At 37.5% G+C, this 18,995-nt stretch overlaps 1 protein-coding gene across 52 annotated transcripts in view; it reads right to left on the reverse strand.

The window, feature by feature from the left end:
• MCTP1 (multiple C2 and transmembrane domain containing 1) overlaps nt 1-18,995 on the reverse strand; it is a 581,405-nt gene that overhangs the window by 48,103 nt on the left and 514,307 nt on the right. Inside the window, exon 20 of one of the 52 annotated variants that reach the window (XM_047417719.1) lies at nt 936-2,118. The exons of 50 other annotated variants lie outside the window; for them this stretch is intronic. In XM_047417719.1, the coding sequence (XP_047273675.1) occupies nt 2,050-2,118 (69 nt within the window). In that variant the 3' untranslated portion in view covers nt 936-2,049. Of the gene's footprint in view, nt 1-935; nt 2,119-18,995 lie in introns of those variants that run through there. One more of the 52 variants, XM_047417739.1, reaches the window with a different exon arrangement.

Raw genomic sequence — 18,995 nt, forward strand, 5'->3', positions numbered from 1 at the left:
GTTCTAGGATCAACGTTCCAGATGAAATAAGCCACGATTCTCGATCCATACTTACCAGTCGCCTTACAAAAAACCAAACACCGCATGTTCTCACTCATAGATGGGAATTGAACAATGAGAACACATGGACACAGGAAGGGGAACATCACACTCCGGGGACTGTTGTGGGGTGCAGGGAGGGGGGAGGGTTAGCATTGGGAGATATACCTAATGCTAAATGACGAGTTAATGGGTGCAGCACACCAGCATGGCACATGTATACATATGTAACTAACCTGCACATTGTGCACATGTACCCTAAAACTTAAATAATAAAATATATATATATATATATATATATATATATATATATATTCAAAATAGCTTCCTCAGGTAGGTGAATTATCTCACCCGGCTGAAACAGTGTCTGCGTGTTTGGCAGGAGAGTCAGGGAAGAGCGCTTGTAACTGGATTTTATCCAAAGTGGTTACCTGAGTTCTAACAATGACAAAGTGGTGAGGATGAGCCCTCTGAGCTAGCTTGGGAAATACTAGTTGTTCAACCCTTTCAGTATTACTCAGCCAAACTGCAGCTGATCAGCTTGACCAAATGTTCGCCAGAGTATCCTGAAATAAGTATGCCCCTTGTACATACCTAAGTTCAGAGGTTAAGGGTCAAATAGGTAGGCTGAGTTTGCAAGTGCTTGAAGCTAAAATTCTCAAACTCAGGTGCCTAAGGACCACCCAGTTAAAACAATTCCTAGGTTCCACCTTATTGAATCAGAATCTCTTGAAGTGGGGCTAAAGAATTTGTGTTTTAACTTGGTTCCTAGGTTATTTTGAAAACTAGGATGTTTTTTTAAAAAAATCTACTCAAACTTACCTGAGTATGAAAAAAGAAAATATAACCCTTCATAGACATAAAAAGCACATAGCCATAAAAAGCACAAACACAAAAACATCCAAGGAAACAAAATTCAGTCCAAAGACTTCATGTAAGTAGAGATCACATAGTACTTATCATCCAAACAGGGACACCTCTGAAAGTGAAAGCTATTGATTATAGCAGGATAACAGGTGTAAACAGGGACTGTACTCTGTAACTGGGATTTATGGTCATCTGAATTCTAAGACTAATCTGGGCAGGAAAATTGTTTGGGATTTAGGCCACTAACACAACAGAAAGCCCTCATCCAAGTTTTGAAGTTTAGCAAGAGCTGCAAATATTTTGATTAGGAGGGCTATATAAACCATAAACCCAGAGGATCTTGTTCAGGGGTTCACTGTGGCTTGAAGTAGAGCAGGATGAACTCTCAGGTCCTAATTACCCTGACTGAGAAGAGACCAGTAGAAACTTTGACCCCACAGTGGAGGAGTGCATATGGCAGTGACATTTATCCACAGCAACTGCAGAAGTCAGTCTTATGAAATGTAAAGGATTGGACCTCAGAGATGGAGAGAGAAGAAACAAACCAGGCATTATTCTACTCCCTACACTTATCTTGCAATTTCTAGGAAACACCTTTTCTCCTAAGTTTTTAGTTCTCTAGTCATGCAGTTTGCACAAACCCCCTAAAAATTATTGCCATATAGCTTCCTATTGCCTTCCGCCTCTGGGGAATACTGCAGTATTCTTATAGGGAAAAGGAAGAATGGGTTGCGCATTTTCATTATTCATTGGATGCAAAAAATTCATCGTGTAAAGGTTGTTTTAGAAGTGCAAAACAGCTAAATGAGAAATCATGTTATTGCTAGGAAATTTCATTTATTTCCTTTGTTGTAATAATGATTGTGGTGTGTAGTTGCTTCTGTAATAATTACAGTGATGCTATTGCACATTTACTTTCAGGTATCATTTTCATTTTAAAATTAATCTCAAAATATAGTGTTCATTCAATTATGCCTCTCTTAGCAAACAAACTCTACTCTGAGCTCTAAACTACCCAGTATTGAAACTACCTTTTTAAAATGGGAGGACCAATGAACATGCATATGCAGAAGGGCCTGGATCTTCACAAAGTAACTTCTCTTCTAGAAATTATACTTCAGGTAGACTATGCCTCTTCTGTGTTCAGTTGCCAGTGCATGGGGTGGAAGGAAAGCGTAATTGGTGCACTGGCCCCCAGGAGAAAAGCAGTATCTGAGGAAACATTGAAATAATTACAAAATATGTGTTTAAAAGAGGCATGGTGATAGTTACAGGAGAAGGGAAAGAGAAGGAAAGGAAGAGAGAAATCGCTCTTAGATGATTATAAAATATATCTTATTTACCTGAGAGAGTTAAAGTGTATTGGCTATGCTTTTTAAAAACGGGTCTTAATTACCCTTGAGGCCAGAATTCCATATGAGATAAATATGTTTTTAGATAGTTTTCTAAAATATGTATAATTTACTCAAGGAAAAAAGGACTGTGTCCTCTGGAGCCAATCCAGCCTCACAGGTAAATACAAATTTAAGTAGATTCCTAAGAAGCACATTATGAACAGTGGCTGATGGAGTGGAATGTCTGTGAAGAAGCTGGGAAGGTCCGTCAGTTAAGTACATAATAAAAATGTATTGGAAAAATACATCATTTCCTCAGTGGACTATAATTGGCTATGCATAGTAAAAAGTCTTATTTTCAAAAATGTATTCTGCATCCACAGAGTTTTAAATCTCAATAACCACGTTATTTTTAAAAGTCAGAATGCTAAGCAATATTAGTGAGAGTGGCAGAAGAACCACATGGTAGATGTCATTCTGCAATTTACAACTCTTTGACATCTTCTTTTTCTTCTTCTTTTAAAGCAGACTTCATCCAAAGCCATAGGTAAAAAGTTAAAGAAGATGGAGGATCAAAATTCAGCTTTCTTTACTAAACAGTCCGATCAGTCTTTTCAGAAGTGCCAAAGTACGTTTAACTTTAAAAGCATATCCTTTTTTTATTATCCAGGCAGAAATTTCTGGTATAAACAAACAAGACAGACAGATGTAAAGGTCCACAGTAACACAATTACCTAGGCCTGCCATTTACACCTTTCCCCATCCCACTGATTTTGACCTTTCCCTTGCCTACCACCTCACCGTTCTCCCAGCCCATCCATTCGGTTCTGGCTTCACTTGTCTCCTTCCCTTGCAACCTATAGGGATGTTGTTGGACCTGTCTTTATGTTCTTTCTGTATTATCCTGTTTTTATACAACTCATTCTGGGCTGCCAAGCTGTGGACTGCCCGTTTTGGCGACCACACATTCCTGGTGTGTCATGCAGCCCCAGGGAGGCCTTGACAGTGACTTGGGCATTTGTCCATTTGGCTCATGCTGACTGGCTGTCACAGTCCTCCCAGTCCTCCCACTTTCTCCAGAGCCTCCCATCCTAACATTCACACTCATAGCAGGTGACCATTTCTTTGTTTTTCCTGAGAGAGCTGAGGCCATGTGTGCTTCTTCAACACCTGTGCTCCTCACCGGGAGGATCCCCAGGGAGCTTCTTCCCTGACCCCTTCCTTCTGCCACTGCCATCACTTCTGAGACCCTGATCCTCCCCTCTTCTAGCTCTGGATTCCTCCTTCCCCACTGATTCCTTTTAAAGAGTGAGTGACCTCTCTAGTATTAATACTAAAATGAGCCCCAAGGTCCTTCCAACTCCTTAATTCCCACTTTCCTCTCTTTCCCCGCTTCAGAATCAAACCAGCTCTCAAACCAGAGTTCACACCAGCTGCCTCTCATTTGCCTTCTGCGTTCTGCTCTCACCACACTAGGGAAACTCCGAGGACCACGACCACAACTAATCCAATCACCAGCGTTCATGACTTTTTCTTTAGTGCTCATCTTCCATGACCATTTGACATACTTCATTCTAGCGATATATTTCTTAAAACATGTGGTTTCCATGCTTGGGACCCTTCGGATTCCCCTCCTATCACTCTGAAGACTCCTTTTCAGTATATGTTCTGTTTTTCATCCTCCCGTTGCCCTTTAAATAGATGCATTCTCCACAGAACTGTCCTCGGCCCTCTTCCTCTCATACTCAACTTCCTCTGCCTCTGTAATAACTTTGTATCTCTAATGGGTAATTCTCAAATTTAAAAGTCTCTGCTATAACCTCTTCTTTGAACTCTAGATTTCTACTTCTACCATCTGCTAGAATACCTTATTCGATGTCCTGGTGACATTTCAAACTCGACATGTTAGAAACAGAAGTAATTTTTTTCCCTCTAAAATCTATTCTTACTCAGACCTTCTGTTCCATTTAACAACTTGACAATTTTCCTGGGCACCCATGGCCGACAGTGATGCTGCTAATGATTATAACAATAACAATATTATTACTCCTATTAGACCTAGGAAATTCCGACAACAGCCAGACCTTGTTCTAAGCTTCACTAAATATACAGTCATTTAATCCCTACAACAACCCTATGAGGTTGGAACAATTATTAACCCCACTTTGCAGATGTGGTAACTGAGGGATAGAGGTAAAATTTCTTGCCCAGCATCACATAGCAGCCTGGTTCCAGAATCCATACTCTTAACCACTATGCTCTACTGCCTCAAGAAGTCTTCAGTGATTGTTGGCAGCAATTGTAAGATGTGTTATAGCTGACAGTAGCTAGAAGGTGGCTAATTTGAGGTCTGTGGGATTTGACATTAGGTGGTGGTTATGGGAATGAAAAGGAGAGTGACTGACAGGAGACGGTGGAGCTCTATGAAGATAGGAACTGCACTCAACGAGGTGTCATCTATAGCATTATGGGCACTGGCTGTGTCTCAGAGGCTGGTGAATAGGCGATAAGAATGAATTATACACATAGAAAGCCGAAACTCCCTTTTTCTACCATTCTAGCAATAGTAGATGCAATTCCGGTTAATTACGGGAGGTATAAATATCAGAGGGGAGATGACAAAGATGTTGGCAAAATGAGATCCTTTGACAGCCACTTTTCTTTTGCTAAAGAATACCCAGCACACAACTATGGCTACTTTGAGTGATTATGGGACTCTGATGCCTGAATTGCTATATTTTATTCATATGTATCCTTCTATTCTTTCAATATTCAATCAAATGTTTACTTTTTGTATAGGATTGTGCATGTTATGTATTAAAGTACTCAGTTCTGATTACTAGAATTTATGACTTTTTTTTTGTGGAAATAAGGTATGTGAAAGCTAAATAAGATCATGAATAAATAATACCTCAAGGTCATAGGGCAATATGGCATGCTGTTTTAAAGTATGGGCTTTGGAGTCTATATAGAACTCGCTTCTAATTTCGGCCTTTGTTTGTGACTTTGGACAAGTTGCTTTGTCCTCATCTGTGAAATGTGAATGACAGAACCTACCTAATAGAGTTGTCATGAAGAAGAAATGAGATAACGCACATCAAGTCCTCAGCATAGTGCTGAGCAAATAATTCCATGCACATGGGCGTACACAAACACATACAACTGAGTATTACTCTGTGTTCTGAAGGGGACTTCCTATTGGCTGAAGCGTTTATTGGGTGGCAGGAGGCAGATTTCAGCTGAGTCTTAAAAAATGGATGGGTCTTAGATAAACGGAAAGAACATTTCATATAGATACCAAGGCAGACCTCAACAGAGGCTAAGAGGAAGGTGCAAAGTAAGAAATATCACAACAGCAAAGTCAATAGAATTTTGATTACAAATTACAGACAGAATCATCAAAGATGATTTGAGTTTTTATGTCTTCATGATTAAAATAATTGTGCTACTGGTAGAAATCCATTAGCCATGAAAGGAAGTTAGTTTTAGAGGAAGAAGACAGGTTTAGAGCGAAATATATAGAATCTGAGGTTATGATGGGACAATTTTCAATGTCTAAGAGGATGGAAAGAGACAACAGACTTGAGACGAAAGGCAGAAATGGAGATTTCTAGCTCCTTGAGGAGTTAGGTCTCATTTCTCTTTAAATCCCTCAGAACAGCTAGCATAGTGCTTTGAACATTCCACATGCACACTGCTTGTTGCATGGATGGATGAATAAGTGAATAAAAGTAAAGATTCTGGAGTTCTCTCCACGGAGGAGATAGTTAGTCTCCAAGGAAGAACAAAACAGAGAGGTACCCAAACATCAGAGACACAAGAAAACCAAAGTGTTAGAGTAAAGCAACAACAACATGAGTGCACAGGGAAACAGAAGGGGATATCAAATGGTGGTCAAGGGAGTCTTGGGAAACAGGCACTGCCAAGGAGGAGGATCAAGTGAAGTTATTAATGTCTTCAGGAAACAAGTTTAGTAAGGTGTTATAGATGGAGGCCTCAAAAGAAAAAAATGAGATCCAACAAAAGTGGGGAGTAAATGGAGGCAACAGATGTATGTCTGAGATTAATAGCAACTGAAGGAAAAGAAAACTCACTACACTCTTTTCTAAAAATGTGTCACTATATGATACACAGACTAGACATTTGTCATAGGTACTCAAATATTAAGTGCACATATGCATGAATATATGAACAAATGGATGAATTGAATAAATAATTCATATTTGATATGAGAAAAGTACTATATCTTGATTTCTTGTTTCTTAATTAGAAAATCCCTCGCTGGATGTGGTGGCACATGCCTATAGTCCTAGCTACTTGGAAGGATCACTTAAACCCAAGAGTTCAAGGCTGCAGTGAGCTATGATTACACCACTGCACTCCAGCCTGGGGGACAGAGCGAGACCCCATCTCTTAAAAAGGAGAGAGAGAAAAAATAAAAATAAAGAAAATTCCACCTTCATTTCTGTGCTGTGGGTATGTAAATAGATGCAAAAGCACCTGTAGGTAACGAAGTCAGTCAACTCTTACAAGACAAAAACTGATTTCTTTTCACCATATTATTCTTTTACCTGTTTTTATGGAGGCTATACAACTATGATTTAGATTGTGGGAAGGTGAATATTTATGAATAAATAAGAAATTTTAATTTTTCATATCAACTGTTTTAGTATAAGCTCCAACCCCTCCAAGTGACTCCCACCTGGATAATTTTTTATTAAAACTAATTGTTTTCTATGTTTGGAAAATGCACAATTTTGTTATCATGGAGAAAAGTCTGCACAATATAATTATTATATAGAAAAACAAACATGACTTGTAGAATAGGAAAAAACATCTGAAATCAGTAAACATCTATTTAGTTTTCCTGATATACACTAAAAACAGATATTAAGAAAATATTTTAGCTATGGATTTGCCTTTTTTAATGCTATGAAATTCATGCTGAGTAGAGAAAACCTATGCTTGATACTTTCAACTTATAGTACATTTTCAAGGTGAATTATTAAATTCTCAAAACCTGACCTTCTAATGAAGGCACTGATGCAAGCACAGAGTTGGTGAAGAAAACCACAAAGACATAAAAATGCACAGATATATGATCAACTAGGGACAAATTTTGATGGAATTATCACCAGATCTCTACAGACAAGGCATATCTATCAAACCATGCCTACCATAAGCTTTGATTCCATTAATTCCCGAGAAAAGACATCACGTAGAGTTCTGGATACCAGGTGTGTAAACACTAAGAGATTCTGATATTATGATATCTTTCATGTAGAAACCTGAACACAACCCCACCAGATGCAGAAGCTAGTTTCCACTGGGAATGCTACCTACCCTTTTACTACTGGTATCATTATTTAAACGTTTAATGTAGGAGAAACTAAAGGCCAAAAAAGAACACGTCTGCACTTAATTTCAAGTGACAGCTAATATAGTGCATTAAAAATGTAATACTATACATATGATAGTTATATATAAATAGTAACATTAAAAAGGGTTACAACATCCCTACGACATCTTACGTCTAAAACACTTAAAAAGCACATTTGCAGTACAACTTAAATCATTTTAATTGGTTTCAAGAAGACTTCAAATTAGTGATGGGCTTTGACTTTTTCTGATTATGAAAGAGAAACACAGATGAATGCTTTTTAGGCAGCCTAATATCATTGCCAGGTAGACTACCACATAACCTGTGTTACTTAAATGCCATTAACTATCAATGAAAGTTATTTTCACATAAGTGTTTTATGTAAATTTTGTTTTCCTAAAGTCATTAGTTCTCCTAATAAATGTACCTAATGCAAAATGTCTTTTTTTGTTCTTTCTTTGCATTCATTATCCAGGAACTTTTTCAAAGAGAAAAAAAAAAAAAAAAAAAAAGCAGAGTGACAGAGCTGGAATACTTAGCAACCATTTTACTGTTGAGGGTTTTTTTTTTTTTTTTTGGTACGAAAAATAATCCAGTTACATTCTCTAGCTCAATTGCTTACAAATAACTTATCTGGAAAAAAAATCAAGTAAATCTATCAGTTGTAGAAGTTTATTTTTCCATGTGGTATCTAGAGATAAGCCAACCTGTAGTATTAGATTTCCACTGACATAATTGTGCATGAATTCTGATCTGATTTGATATTACATGGTGCAAAAGGTGACACATTTTCTCTAATATACCCCATTAGAAAGGGAAGAAATTGCCAAAGTATGAAATCTGAGGACCTTGATTCAGAAACTATATGACTCTGAGGTTAGCTCAATGGGAAAAAAAGAACTTGTTTGACTACTCCAGGCACTGAAGGCTGTGACAAGCAAACTACCAAGGGTAGCTATTCTGTTGGATAATCAATACAATCTTACATTATCAGACTGCCACAGCTGTATATTCGTTTATCATATTGCCTTCTATGTCTCTAAAATATTTAAGTGTAGAATCACAAAGAGAATACAGATGCTGTCCTCTTCCCAAATCATTGCTGATCAGGATACTTGGCTAAGACTCCAGAACAAAGAAATAGCATTTATGCACATAACATGCCAAACATTGATTTTAACACCCACATATGCTACCTATGTACAGCAGAGAAACATTAGCTCCAGGCATATAGGAAATGGCTCCTAACTGAGCTACCTACAGTTTCTACAACAAAATTGTTTTTTTTTTTTTGAGACAGTATCACTCTGTCACCCAGGCTGAGTGCAGTGGCACGATCACAGCTCGCTGCAGCCTTGAGCTCCCCAGGCTCAAGTGATCCTCCTGCCTCAGCCTCCCAAAAGCTGGGACGACAGGCATGTGCCACCATGCCAGGCTAATTTTTATATTTTTCATAGAGACAGGGTCCCACTATGTCACCCAAGCTGGTCTCCAACTCCTGGGCTCAAGCAATTATCTCGTCTCAGCCTCCCAAAGTGCTGAGATTACAGATGTGAGTCACCATGCCCAGCCCTATAACAAAAGTTTAGAGATATTAGTGATCTTCTAAATCCTATGATAAACGCCCTTGAACAAATCAATAAAATACCAAATATGAACTGTTGGCAGTTTTAAATTGCATTTTCAAAATGCAGAAACTGTTACGTTTTAAGAAGGAAATGTTCTGCAACCTCCTTTTATCACTTGACTTTTTATATTTGGCAGACAGTCCCAGTAGGCAAAGTCTGGCTTCCAGAACACAGACTGTTGGCATTTGGATCTCTTTTATCAAAGGAGGGCAATGGATGTCCATTACAATTTAGATTGGAATTTCCTACAGGATTCTTTGCAACTCCTTCCTGCTTCCCAGCTAGCTTTGAGGGAGAGCTTAGCTAGAAAGTGAAATTTTTGGATGGAATTCTTATCTACAAGCAAGATAAAAGAGTAATTAGGTAGTCCTTTCATATTTTAGTGGGGACATAGAAAATGACAATTCATCTTGTAAATCAAAAACAAAAATAAATATGCACAGGATAATGGAACTTGAATCTACCTGACAATATGAAGGCACCTTGTTTGTATAAATTTTGAGATAACTTAATCCAGTACCATGTGCTGATAAATCTTGGATAAAGAGACTCTTGGGAGGCAATAGGCTCCGTATTTCTTAATGCTACATGACATCTATTAGAAGCTTTTGGTCTTGGGAAATTGTGGCCAATTTTATTTTCTACAGATGGCCACACAGTATCTCCAATCCCATAGATTCTTATGCACTATGACCTTTATAATCCCCAGCAAGAGGCAGAATTGAATTACCCTTTCCTTAAATCTGGGCTGGCCTAAAGTCTTGCTTGACTACTAAGACAATGTGGGAAACGTGACATTCTGGGACTTCCAAGGCTAGGTCATCAGAAGCCTCGTGGCTTCCACTGGGTCTCTTGAAATACTTGCTTTAGGATTTTCCCTTTTCAAACCAAGCTGCCATGGTATGAGAAGCCAGCAACAACTGCCAGACCAAGCCACCTTGAATGTGCAGCCAAGTTGAGCCTTTTAGATGGCTGCAGTCCCAGGCATCTGACTAGAACCATACGAGAGATTCAGGAAAGAAGTGCCCCAGTGAGCCCAGTCAACACAATGAATAATGACAGAGTGGTCAATTATTAGTTTAGATCACTAAGTTTTGAGGAGTTTGTTATGCCAAACATGGCGGGCTTTGGAGGCAGACAGACTAAAGTTTATAAAGTCTGGTTGTTTCACTCTTTAATGACTTTTAATGAGTGACTTATGCCTCAGAGGTTTCTAGTCTTTCCATCTATAAAATAGTGACAGTAGTAGCAGCTTCTCAAATGATACAAGTTCTTCCAGCATCATATTGTCCTAATGACTGGTTGATCAAAGCCAAAAAAGCATGGTTACTATATGCCTTTCCCTCTGAACCAACTTGAGGCACTGAAAATATTTTTCCATTTACATTTGTCTTTCTTGTTTCCACGTTGGATCTGTGCTTACTTATGAAAGCACACTGAATGGGTAAAAGATACTCTGTATGGACCTGTGGCCATCATTTTTCCAAATGCTGTCAAGACCCAGTGCCTAGGGAAAAGACAGCCAGGCAGGCATATGGGACACATTCTCTGTCTATTCTGAGCAGAATGGGCTGTGGGTACACAAGTTGCATTCCAAGTGGCCTAAGTGTCACCTCTACATGGGTCAACAGGCTTTGCTAAAACATCTCTGGGAAGGAAAATTAATTAGAGGATTTGTTTTCTGATCTCAGTTTCTTCACCACCAGACAAGCTACTAATTCCTAGTCTTAGCTTCTTTGTGAGACTTTCTAGGCTCACCTACTTCCCCATTATCTGATTTCCAGTCTTAGCTACTTCTCCACTAGCCAGGTTAATCTTCCTGATACTGGAGCATGGGAATGATATTTCATGTGCCAATATATAGAGTTATTGTGAATATTAAATAAGGTAAGAAGGGAAAGTACTTTGAAATATGTAAAGTGCTACACAAATATATCTCAGCTAGATACATCATGGTCATCCACAACATTAAAATCTCCTTTACTCTCTTCAACATAAATTTTTTCAATAATCTATTAGCTATTTAAAAATCTCTCAAATTTGTTTCTTTCTATTATCATTTTTACTGTTAAGTTAAAGATGCCTTTATTTCTCGCCAGAGCTATTGTAAAACATCCTAGCATATTTCTCTACTTCAAGTCTCATTTCCTTCTTATTCCAGTCTGTGTCCAGTTGCCAAAGTTCTCTTCTTAAAGCACACATTTCATCATAACAATTCTCTCCTTTAAAATTGTCTATGATTCCTCATTACTTGAAGAATATAATTCAGACTCCTTAGATGATGTCCAAAGCCTTCACAATCTTAAATGTAGATTTCTAGTGTCATTTCCCTCGACTCTCCCTCCTGCACATTATGCTCCTATGATACTACATACTCCTTGATTTTATATACTAAACTTTCTGGTACATTCTCATTTATCCTTCAACACCCAAATTAAATGTCAGTTCCTTTGTGGAACATTCACTGACAATTCCGTGAAGCTGGCTACCTTCCTGTTTTCTCACCAAAACTATTCATTACTTTATTATAACATTTTCCCATTGTATTATAATTATTGGCCTACCTAACCAAGGATCCCATCACACAATGACTCCTGGAAGGCTCATACTGTGTCGCATTCATCTGTGTCTACCCAGTGACTTGTCTCTCAATATATGTTTATGGAACAAAAGCATCATTTTTCAATGAGAAAGACATAATAGCAAAACAGTTCAACCTTTATCTGAGGTTGAGCTTTAAGTAAGGAAGGGTAGCACTGTGAACTTTGAAAGAAAAAAAATTTTAAAACTTTCTGAGACTTTGATTACTGCTATACAAAATTCATGTTTTATGTCAAATTATACTATTAAGACATTCATTTACACAGAGGGATATGAAATAAGATGCTGTATTTATCAGCCTAGATTAAGTTATGTTGCAGTCACAAAGACCCCCAAAATCATAGAGGCTTATAATCGAGATTTATTTTTTTTGTTTACACTACATGTCCATATGGGTTGGTTCCATGCCATCTTTATTCCAGGACTCAGGCTAAAGGAGTAGCTTCTCTGTGGATAGTGCCAGCCTTGTTGCAGAAGGAAAAGAGATATGGCAGAGCCAAGGATGACTCTTAAACCTTTTGCTTGGATGTGGCCTGTGTCACCCAAAGAAAGTCACATGGACAAGTCTGATATCAGTATGCAGGGACATATATCCATAATGCAGTCTGCCACAGACGCCATCAAAGGTAAAAAGGCAGGTGACATTGTCACCACCATGTTAACAACTCTAGAATAGCTTCCCATTGATAAGAACCTAATTGATAAGAGCCCACCATGCTAACTAACATCACTATAATCCATGCATCCTTGTTTACTTCGAGTCTGTAATCCATGCATCCTTGTTTATTATGAATCTAGATTAAGTGGGAAATTTTCAATGAAAAAACAATAGTACCACCAAAAGAAACTCATTTCACCTATAAAGACATATAGACTGAAAGTGAAGGGATGAAAAAAGATATTCCACACAAATAGAAACCAAGATTGAGCTGGAGTAGCTATACTTACATCTGATAAAACAGATGTTAAGTCAAAAACTGTAAAAGGAGACAAAGAAGGTCATTATATAATGATAAAGGGATCAATTCAGCAAGAAGATCAACAACTATAAATATATATGCACCTAACACTGTAGCACCAAGACACATAAAACAAATATTAGATCTAAAAGGAGATAGAGACTCCAACACAAAAATAATTGGGGACTTCAATACCCTACTGTCAGCACTGGATAGATGACCTGGACCAAAAAAAAAAAAAAAAAAAAAAAATCAAACAAACATTGGATTTAAACCACACTGTAGACCAAATGGACCTAACAGAGCTTTATAGACCATTTAATCGAACAGCTGCAGAATACACATTCTTCTCATCAGCACATGGGACATTCTTCAGGATAGACCATATATTAGGCCACGAAACAACTCTCAACACATTTCACAAGATCTGAAACCATATGAAGTATCTTCTCAGGCCCCAGTGAAATAAAACTAGAAATCAATAAAAAGAGGACTTTGGGAACTGTATAAATATATGGAAAGGAAACAACATGCCGCTAAACAACAATTGGGTCAATGAAGTCATTAAAAAGAAAATAAAAGATTTCTTATAACAAATAAAAATAGAAACACAACATGCCAAAACCTATGGAATATAGCAAAAGCAGTGCTACGAGGGCCATTTATAGAAATAAATGCCAATATATATAAAGTAGAAAGATTTCAAATAACTAATTTAATGATGTACCTCAAGGAACTAGAACGGCAAGAACAAACCAAACCCAAAATTAGTAGAAGGAAAGAAGTAATAAAGATCAGAGCAGAACTAAACAAAATAGACTGAGTCTGGTTGCTCATGCCTGTCATCTCAGCACTTTGGGAGGGCGAGGTGGGTGGATCACCTGAGGTCAGGAGTTTGAGACCAGCCTGGCTAACATGGTGAAACCATGTCTCTGCTAAAAAATACAAAAATTAGCCAGGTATGGTGGCATGTGCCTGTAATCCCAGCTACTCAGGAAGCTGAAGCAGAAGAATCACTTGAATGTGGGAGGTGGAGGTTGCTGTGAGCCGAGATCATACCACTGCACTCCAGCCTGGGCAACAAGAGGGAAACTCCATCTCAAAAAAGAAAAAAAAAAAAAAAAGCACTAAACAAAATAGAGACTAAAAAATTACAAAGGAGAAACAAAATAAAACACTGGTTTTTTTGAAAAGATAAAATTAAGCCGTTAGCAAGACTAGCCAAGAGGGGGAAAAAAAAAAGACTCAAATAAATAAATCAGAATTGAAAAAAGACATTATAACTGATACCACAGAAATACAAAGGATTATTAGAAACTATTATAGACAAGTATATACTAACAAATTAGAAAACCTAGAAGAGGCCTGGTGCGGTGGCTCACGCTTGTAATCCCAGCACTTTGGGAGGCCGAGGAGGGCAGATCGCCTGAGGTCAGGAGTTCAAGACCAGCCCAGCCAACATGGCGAAACCCCGTCTGTACTAAAAACACAAAAAAATTAGCTGGGCATGGTGGCAGGCACCTGTAATCCCAGCAATTCAGGAAGCTGAGGCAGGAGAATAGCTTGAACTCGGGAGGTGGAGGTTGCAGTGAGCTGAGATCATGCCACTGCACTCTAGCGAGGGCGAGAAGAACAAAACTCCATCTCAAATAGCAAAGACTTGGAAACAACCCAAATGTCCATCAATGATAGACTGGATTAAGAAAATGTGGCACATATACACCATGGAATACTATGCAGCCATAAAAATGGATGAGTTCATGTCCTTTGTAGGGACATGGATGAAGCTGGAAACCATCATTCTGAGCAAGCTATCGCAAGGACAGAAAACCAAACACCACATGTTCTCACTCATAGGTGGGAATGAACAATGAGAACACTTAGCCACAGGGTGGGGAACATCACACACCAGGGCCTGTCATGGGGTTGGGGGAGGGAGGAGGGATAGCATTAGGAGATATACCTAATGCTAAATGACGAGTTAACGGATGCAGCACACCAACATGGCACATGTATGATATGTAACAAACCTGCACGTTGTGCACATGTACCCTAGAACTTAAAGTATAGTTAAAAAAAAAAAAGGCAAACCTAGAGGAAAATTCCTGGACACATACAGCCTACCAAGATTGAACCAGGAAGAAACAGAAAACCTGAATAGGCCAATAAGAAATAGTGAGATTGAGTCAGTAACACAATGTCTCCAAACAAAGAAGACCCCAAACTGGATAGCTTTACTGATTAATTATGGCAATTTATAAAGAACTAACAATTCTTTTCAAACTGTTTCAAACAATTGAAAGGACGGAATTCTTCCTAACGCATTCTATGAGGCCACCATTACCCAGATCCAGACAAGGACACAATAAAAAAAAATTACATGCCAATATCCCTGATGAACATAGACACAAAAATCCCCAACAAAAATACTAGCCAACTAAATCCAACAGTACATCAAAAAGATAATACACCATGATCAAGTTGGATTTATCTGAGGCATGCAAGGATTGTTCAACATAGGCAAATCAATAAATGTGATACATCACATTAACAGACTGGACAAAACCATATCATAATCTCAATAGACACAGAACAAGCATTTGGTAAAATTCAACATCTCTTTATTATACAAACTCTCAACAAATTAGGCATAGAAGGAACATATCTCAACGTAATAAAGGCTCTATATGGCAAACCCACAGCTACTACATGGAATGGGGAAAACCTGAAAGCCTTTCCTCTAAGAACTGGAACAAGACAATGATGCCCCTGTTCACCACTCTTGTTCAACATAGTACTGAAAGTCCTAGCTAGAGCAATCAGGCAAGAGAAAGAAAAGGCATCCAAATTGGAAAAAAAGGAAGTCAAATTATCCCTCTTTGCAGATGACATGATCTTATATATAGAAAAACCTAAAGACACCACAAAAAAACCTCTTAGAACAGATAAACAAATTCAATATAATTGTAGGATGCAAAATCAACATACAAAAATCAGTGGCATTTTTATACACCAGTAATGAACTAGCTAAAATAGAAATCAAGACAGCAGTTCCATTTACACTAGCTACAAAAAAATAAAATACCTAGGAATAAATTTAACCAAGGATGTAAAGGACCTCTACAAGGAAAACTAAAAAATACTAATGAAAGGAGTTGAAGAGGACACAAATGAAAAGGGATCCCATGCCCATGGATTTGAAGAATATTGTTAAAATGACTATACTACACAAAGCAGTCTACAGATTCAATGCAATCTCTATCAAAATACCAATAACATTCTTCTGAGAAATAGAAAAAACAATGCTAAAATTTGTATGGAACTATAAAAGACCCTAATAGCCAAAGCAATCCAGTGCAAAAAGAACAAAGCTGAAGACATCACAATCCTTGACTTCAAAATATGCTATAAAGCTTTAATAACCTAAACAACACGGTATTGGTATTAAAACAGACACATCAACTAATAGACCAGAACAGAGAGCTCAGAAGTATATCCATATTTTTAAAGCCTACTGATTTTCAACAGAGGTATGAAGAGCATAAATTGGGGAAAGGACACTCTCTTCAATAAATGGGGCTGGGAAAACTGGATATCCATATGCAGAAGAATAAAACTAGACACCTCTATCTCACCATACACAAAAATCACCTCAAAATGGATTAAAGATTTAAATGTTAAGATGTAAAACTATAAAACTACTAGAAGAAAACATAGGAGAAATACATCAGGACATTGGTCTAGGCAAAGTTTTATGGCTAATACTTCAAAAGCACAGGCAGCAGAAACAAAAATAGACAAACAGGACTATATTAGACTAAACAGCTTCTGCACAGCAAAGGAAATAATAAGAACGAAGAAACAGCTCTCTTTTGCAACTATTTATCCAACAAGCGACTCGTAATCAGAATATACAAAGAACTCAAACAACTCAACTAAAAAAACCCAAATAATCCAATTAAAAAGTGGGCTAAGGATCTGAACAGACATTTCTCAAAAGAAGACATACAAATGGCTAACAGACATATGAAAAAATGCTCAATATCACTAAATACTGGAGAAATGCAAACCAAAACTACAATGAAATATCATTCCACCCAGTTAAGATGGCTGTTATCAAAAACACAAAAAATAATGGATGTAGTCAAAGATGCAGAAAAAGGGAACTCTTGTGCATAATTGGTGGGAATGTGAATTAGTAGAGCCATTATGGAAATCAACATGGAGGTTTCTCAAAAAACTTAAAATAGAACTAGCATATGACCCACAATCCCATTACTGAATATTTAGCCAAAGGAAAGGAAATCAGTATATTAAAGGGATTTCTGAATCCCCATATTCATTGCAGCACTATTCACAATAGACAGGATAATAGGATCAATCTAAGTATCCATCAACATTTTAATGAATAAAGCAAATGTGGTACATATGTACCCAATGGAATGCTATTTGGCCATAAAAAGGAATAAAATTACATCACTTGCAGCAATGTGGGTGGGACTTGAGGTCCTTATGTTAAATGAAATAAGCCAGACACAAAGAAAAATATCACATATTCTCACTCATCTGCGGGAGCTAAAAATTTTGGTCTCATAGAAGTGAAAAGTAGAATAATAGTTACTAGAGGCTGGGAAGCGGGTGGGGTGAAGAGAGATTGGTTAATGGAAACAAACATACAATTAGATAGAAGGACTAAGTCCTAGTGTTCAATAGCACAGTATGGTGACTATAGCTAACAATTTATATTTCAAAATAGCTAGAAGATTTGAAATATTCAACACTCAAAGAAGTGATAAATTTTTAAGATGATATATATCTCAATTACCCTGATTTGATCATACATTAAAATATCACTTATAATCCATAAATAGGTACAATTCTTATATATCAATAAAAAATTGAAAAAACCAGTAACCCCATGAGGTTTTCATATCTATTATAGCTTTATATTAATTGTGGAGTATGATAGACCACAAAAATTACAGAACTTCTTGTGTGGCAATATTCTAACCAATAGAAGCACAGAACCAATAAAATTGAAGGAATACCTCAGACTGCCTACTCTAAAAATTTATTAGACTTTGTGGATCTTTTTCTTTATATAAAAACAGGTCGATTTTTAAACTCTGGGACTTTACTTGATTTTGGATTTGCCCCAAGAAAAAAAGACTTGTATTGAAACTTTTAAAATAAATGAACCATATCACCAAGAAAGATAACTCAGATGCCACTGGATATAGTTCAGTGAAGCCACACATTTCTTGAAGTTGTGCCCTCACTGACATCAAATGATGTCAACTCTACAGATATTCTGACATTTCTTTAATATTTACCTTTTTGTATATAATTTAATGAAAGTAGATACCTCTATTTATATAGCCAACTCCTGTTGGCAAGTTCTTAAAATCAAAGAATTCCTACTTTGTGAATTTCTTTTAGAATCTGCAGAGTCAATGTCTTTAAAATGGTGAAGAATTTCTTTGCCAAACAAAGTTTCAGGCGGAATAAAAATCTTGGCACCCTGGGTTCAGATGGAGCATCTGTGATGCTTGGCAACACATCTGGTTCTGCTGCTTTGGTGAAGAAACATGCTTCTCATCTCAACATGCAGTGGTGTCAGCCGTGTCAACGACTCTGCCAGCGATCCTGAAAAAATCGTGTCTATTTCTATGAATGTTGTCAACCTCCCGAGAGCCAGGGCTGACACACTGCTATTTCGAGAGTTTTTGTCAAGAAAGGGGAATAGAAGAGGAAATTCACTGCTGCAATACAGAAGTTAACTAGCTTTCCAGAGGACTTGTCTTGAAACATTTGATTGACTCTTAAATGAAAGTTCTTTTTTTGAGGCAAAGAAAATCCAACTATCAGAATAACCCAAAAGGAAAGAGTCCATTCATAGTTTGCTTTACTTGATGGACATTCTTACCAAGTTAGCTATGTAAAACTTTTCATTTAAATTATTTTAGCCCAACTGCCACTTTGGAGGGAATGTTGGAGACAGATATCTACCTAAACATTCCAAGACTGGAGAGGTGCTTCTGCAAAGTGGAACAAGGTGTAACAAAGCTTGACAGGTAGAAACCCACCACCAGCCGGAATCACTAGAAAACTCTTTGAAAGCTAGTTCTGTTTCCAATGACTTTAACATAGAGGCATGAGTATGTAATTATTTTTTTAAAATATGATG

Source organism: Homo sapiens, chromosome 5 (assembly GCF_000001405.40).
Source record: "Homo sapiens chromosome 5, GRCh38.p14 Primary Assembly".
Lineage (NCBI taxonomy): Eukaryota > Metazoa > Chordata > Mammalia > Primates > Hominidae > Homo > Homo sapiens.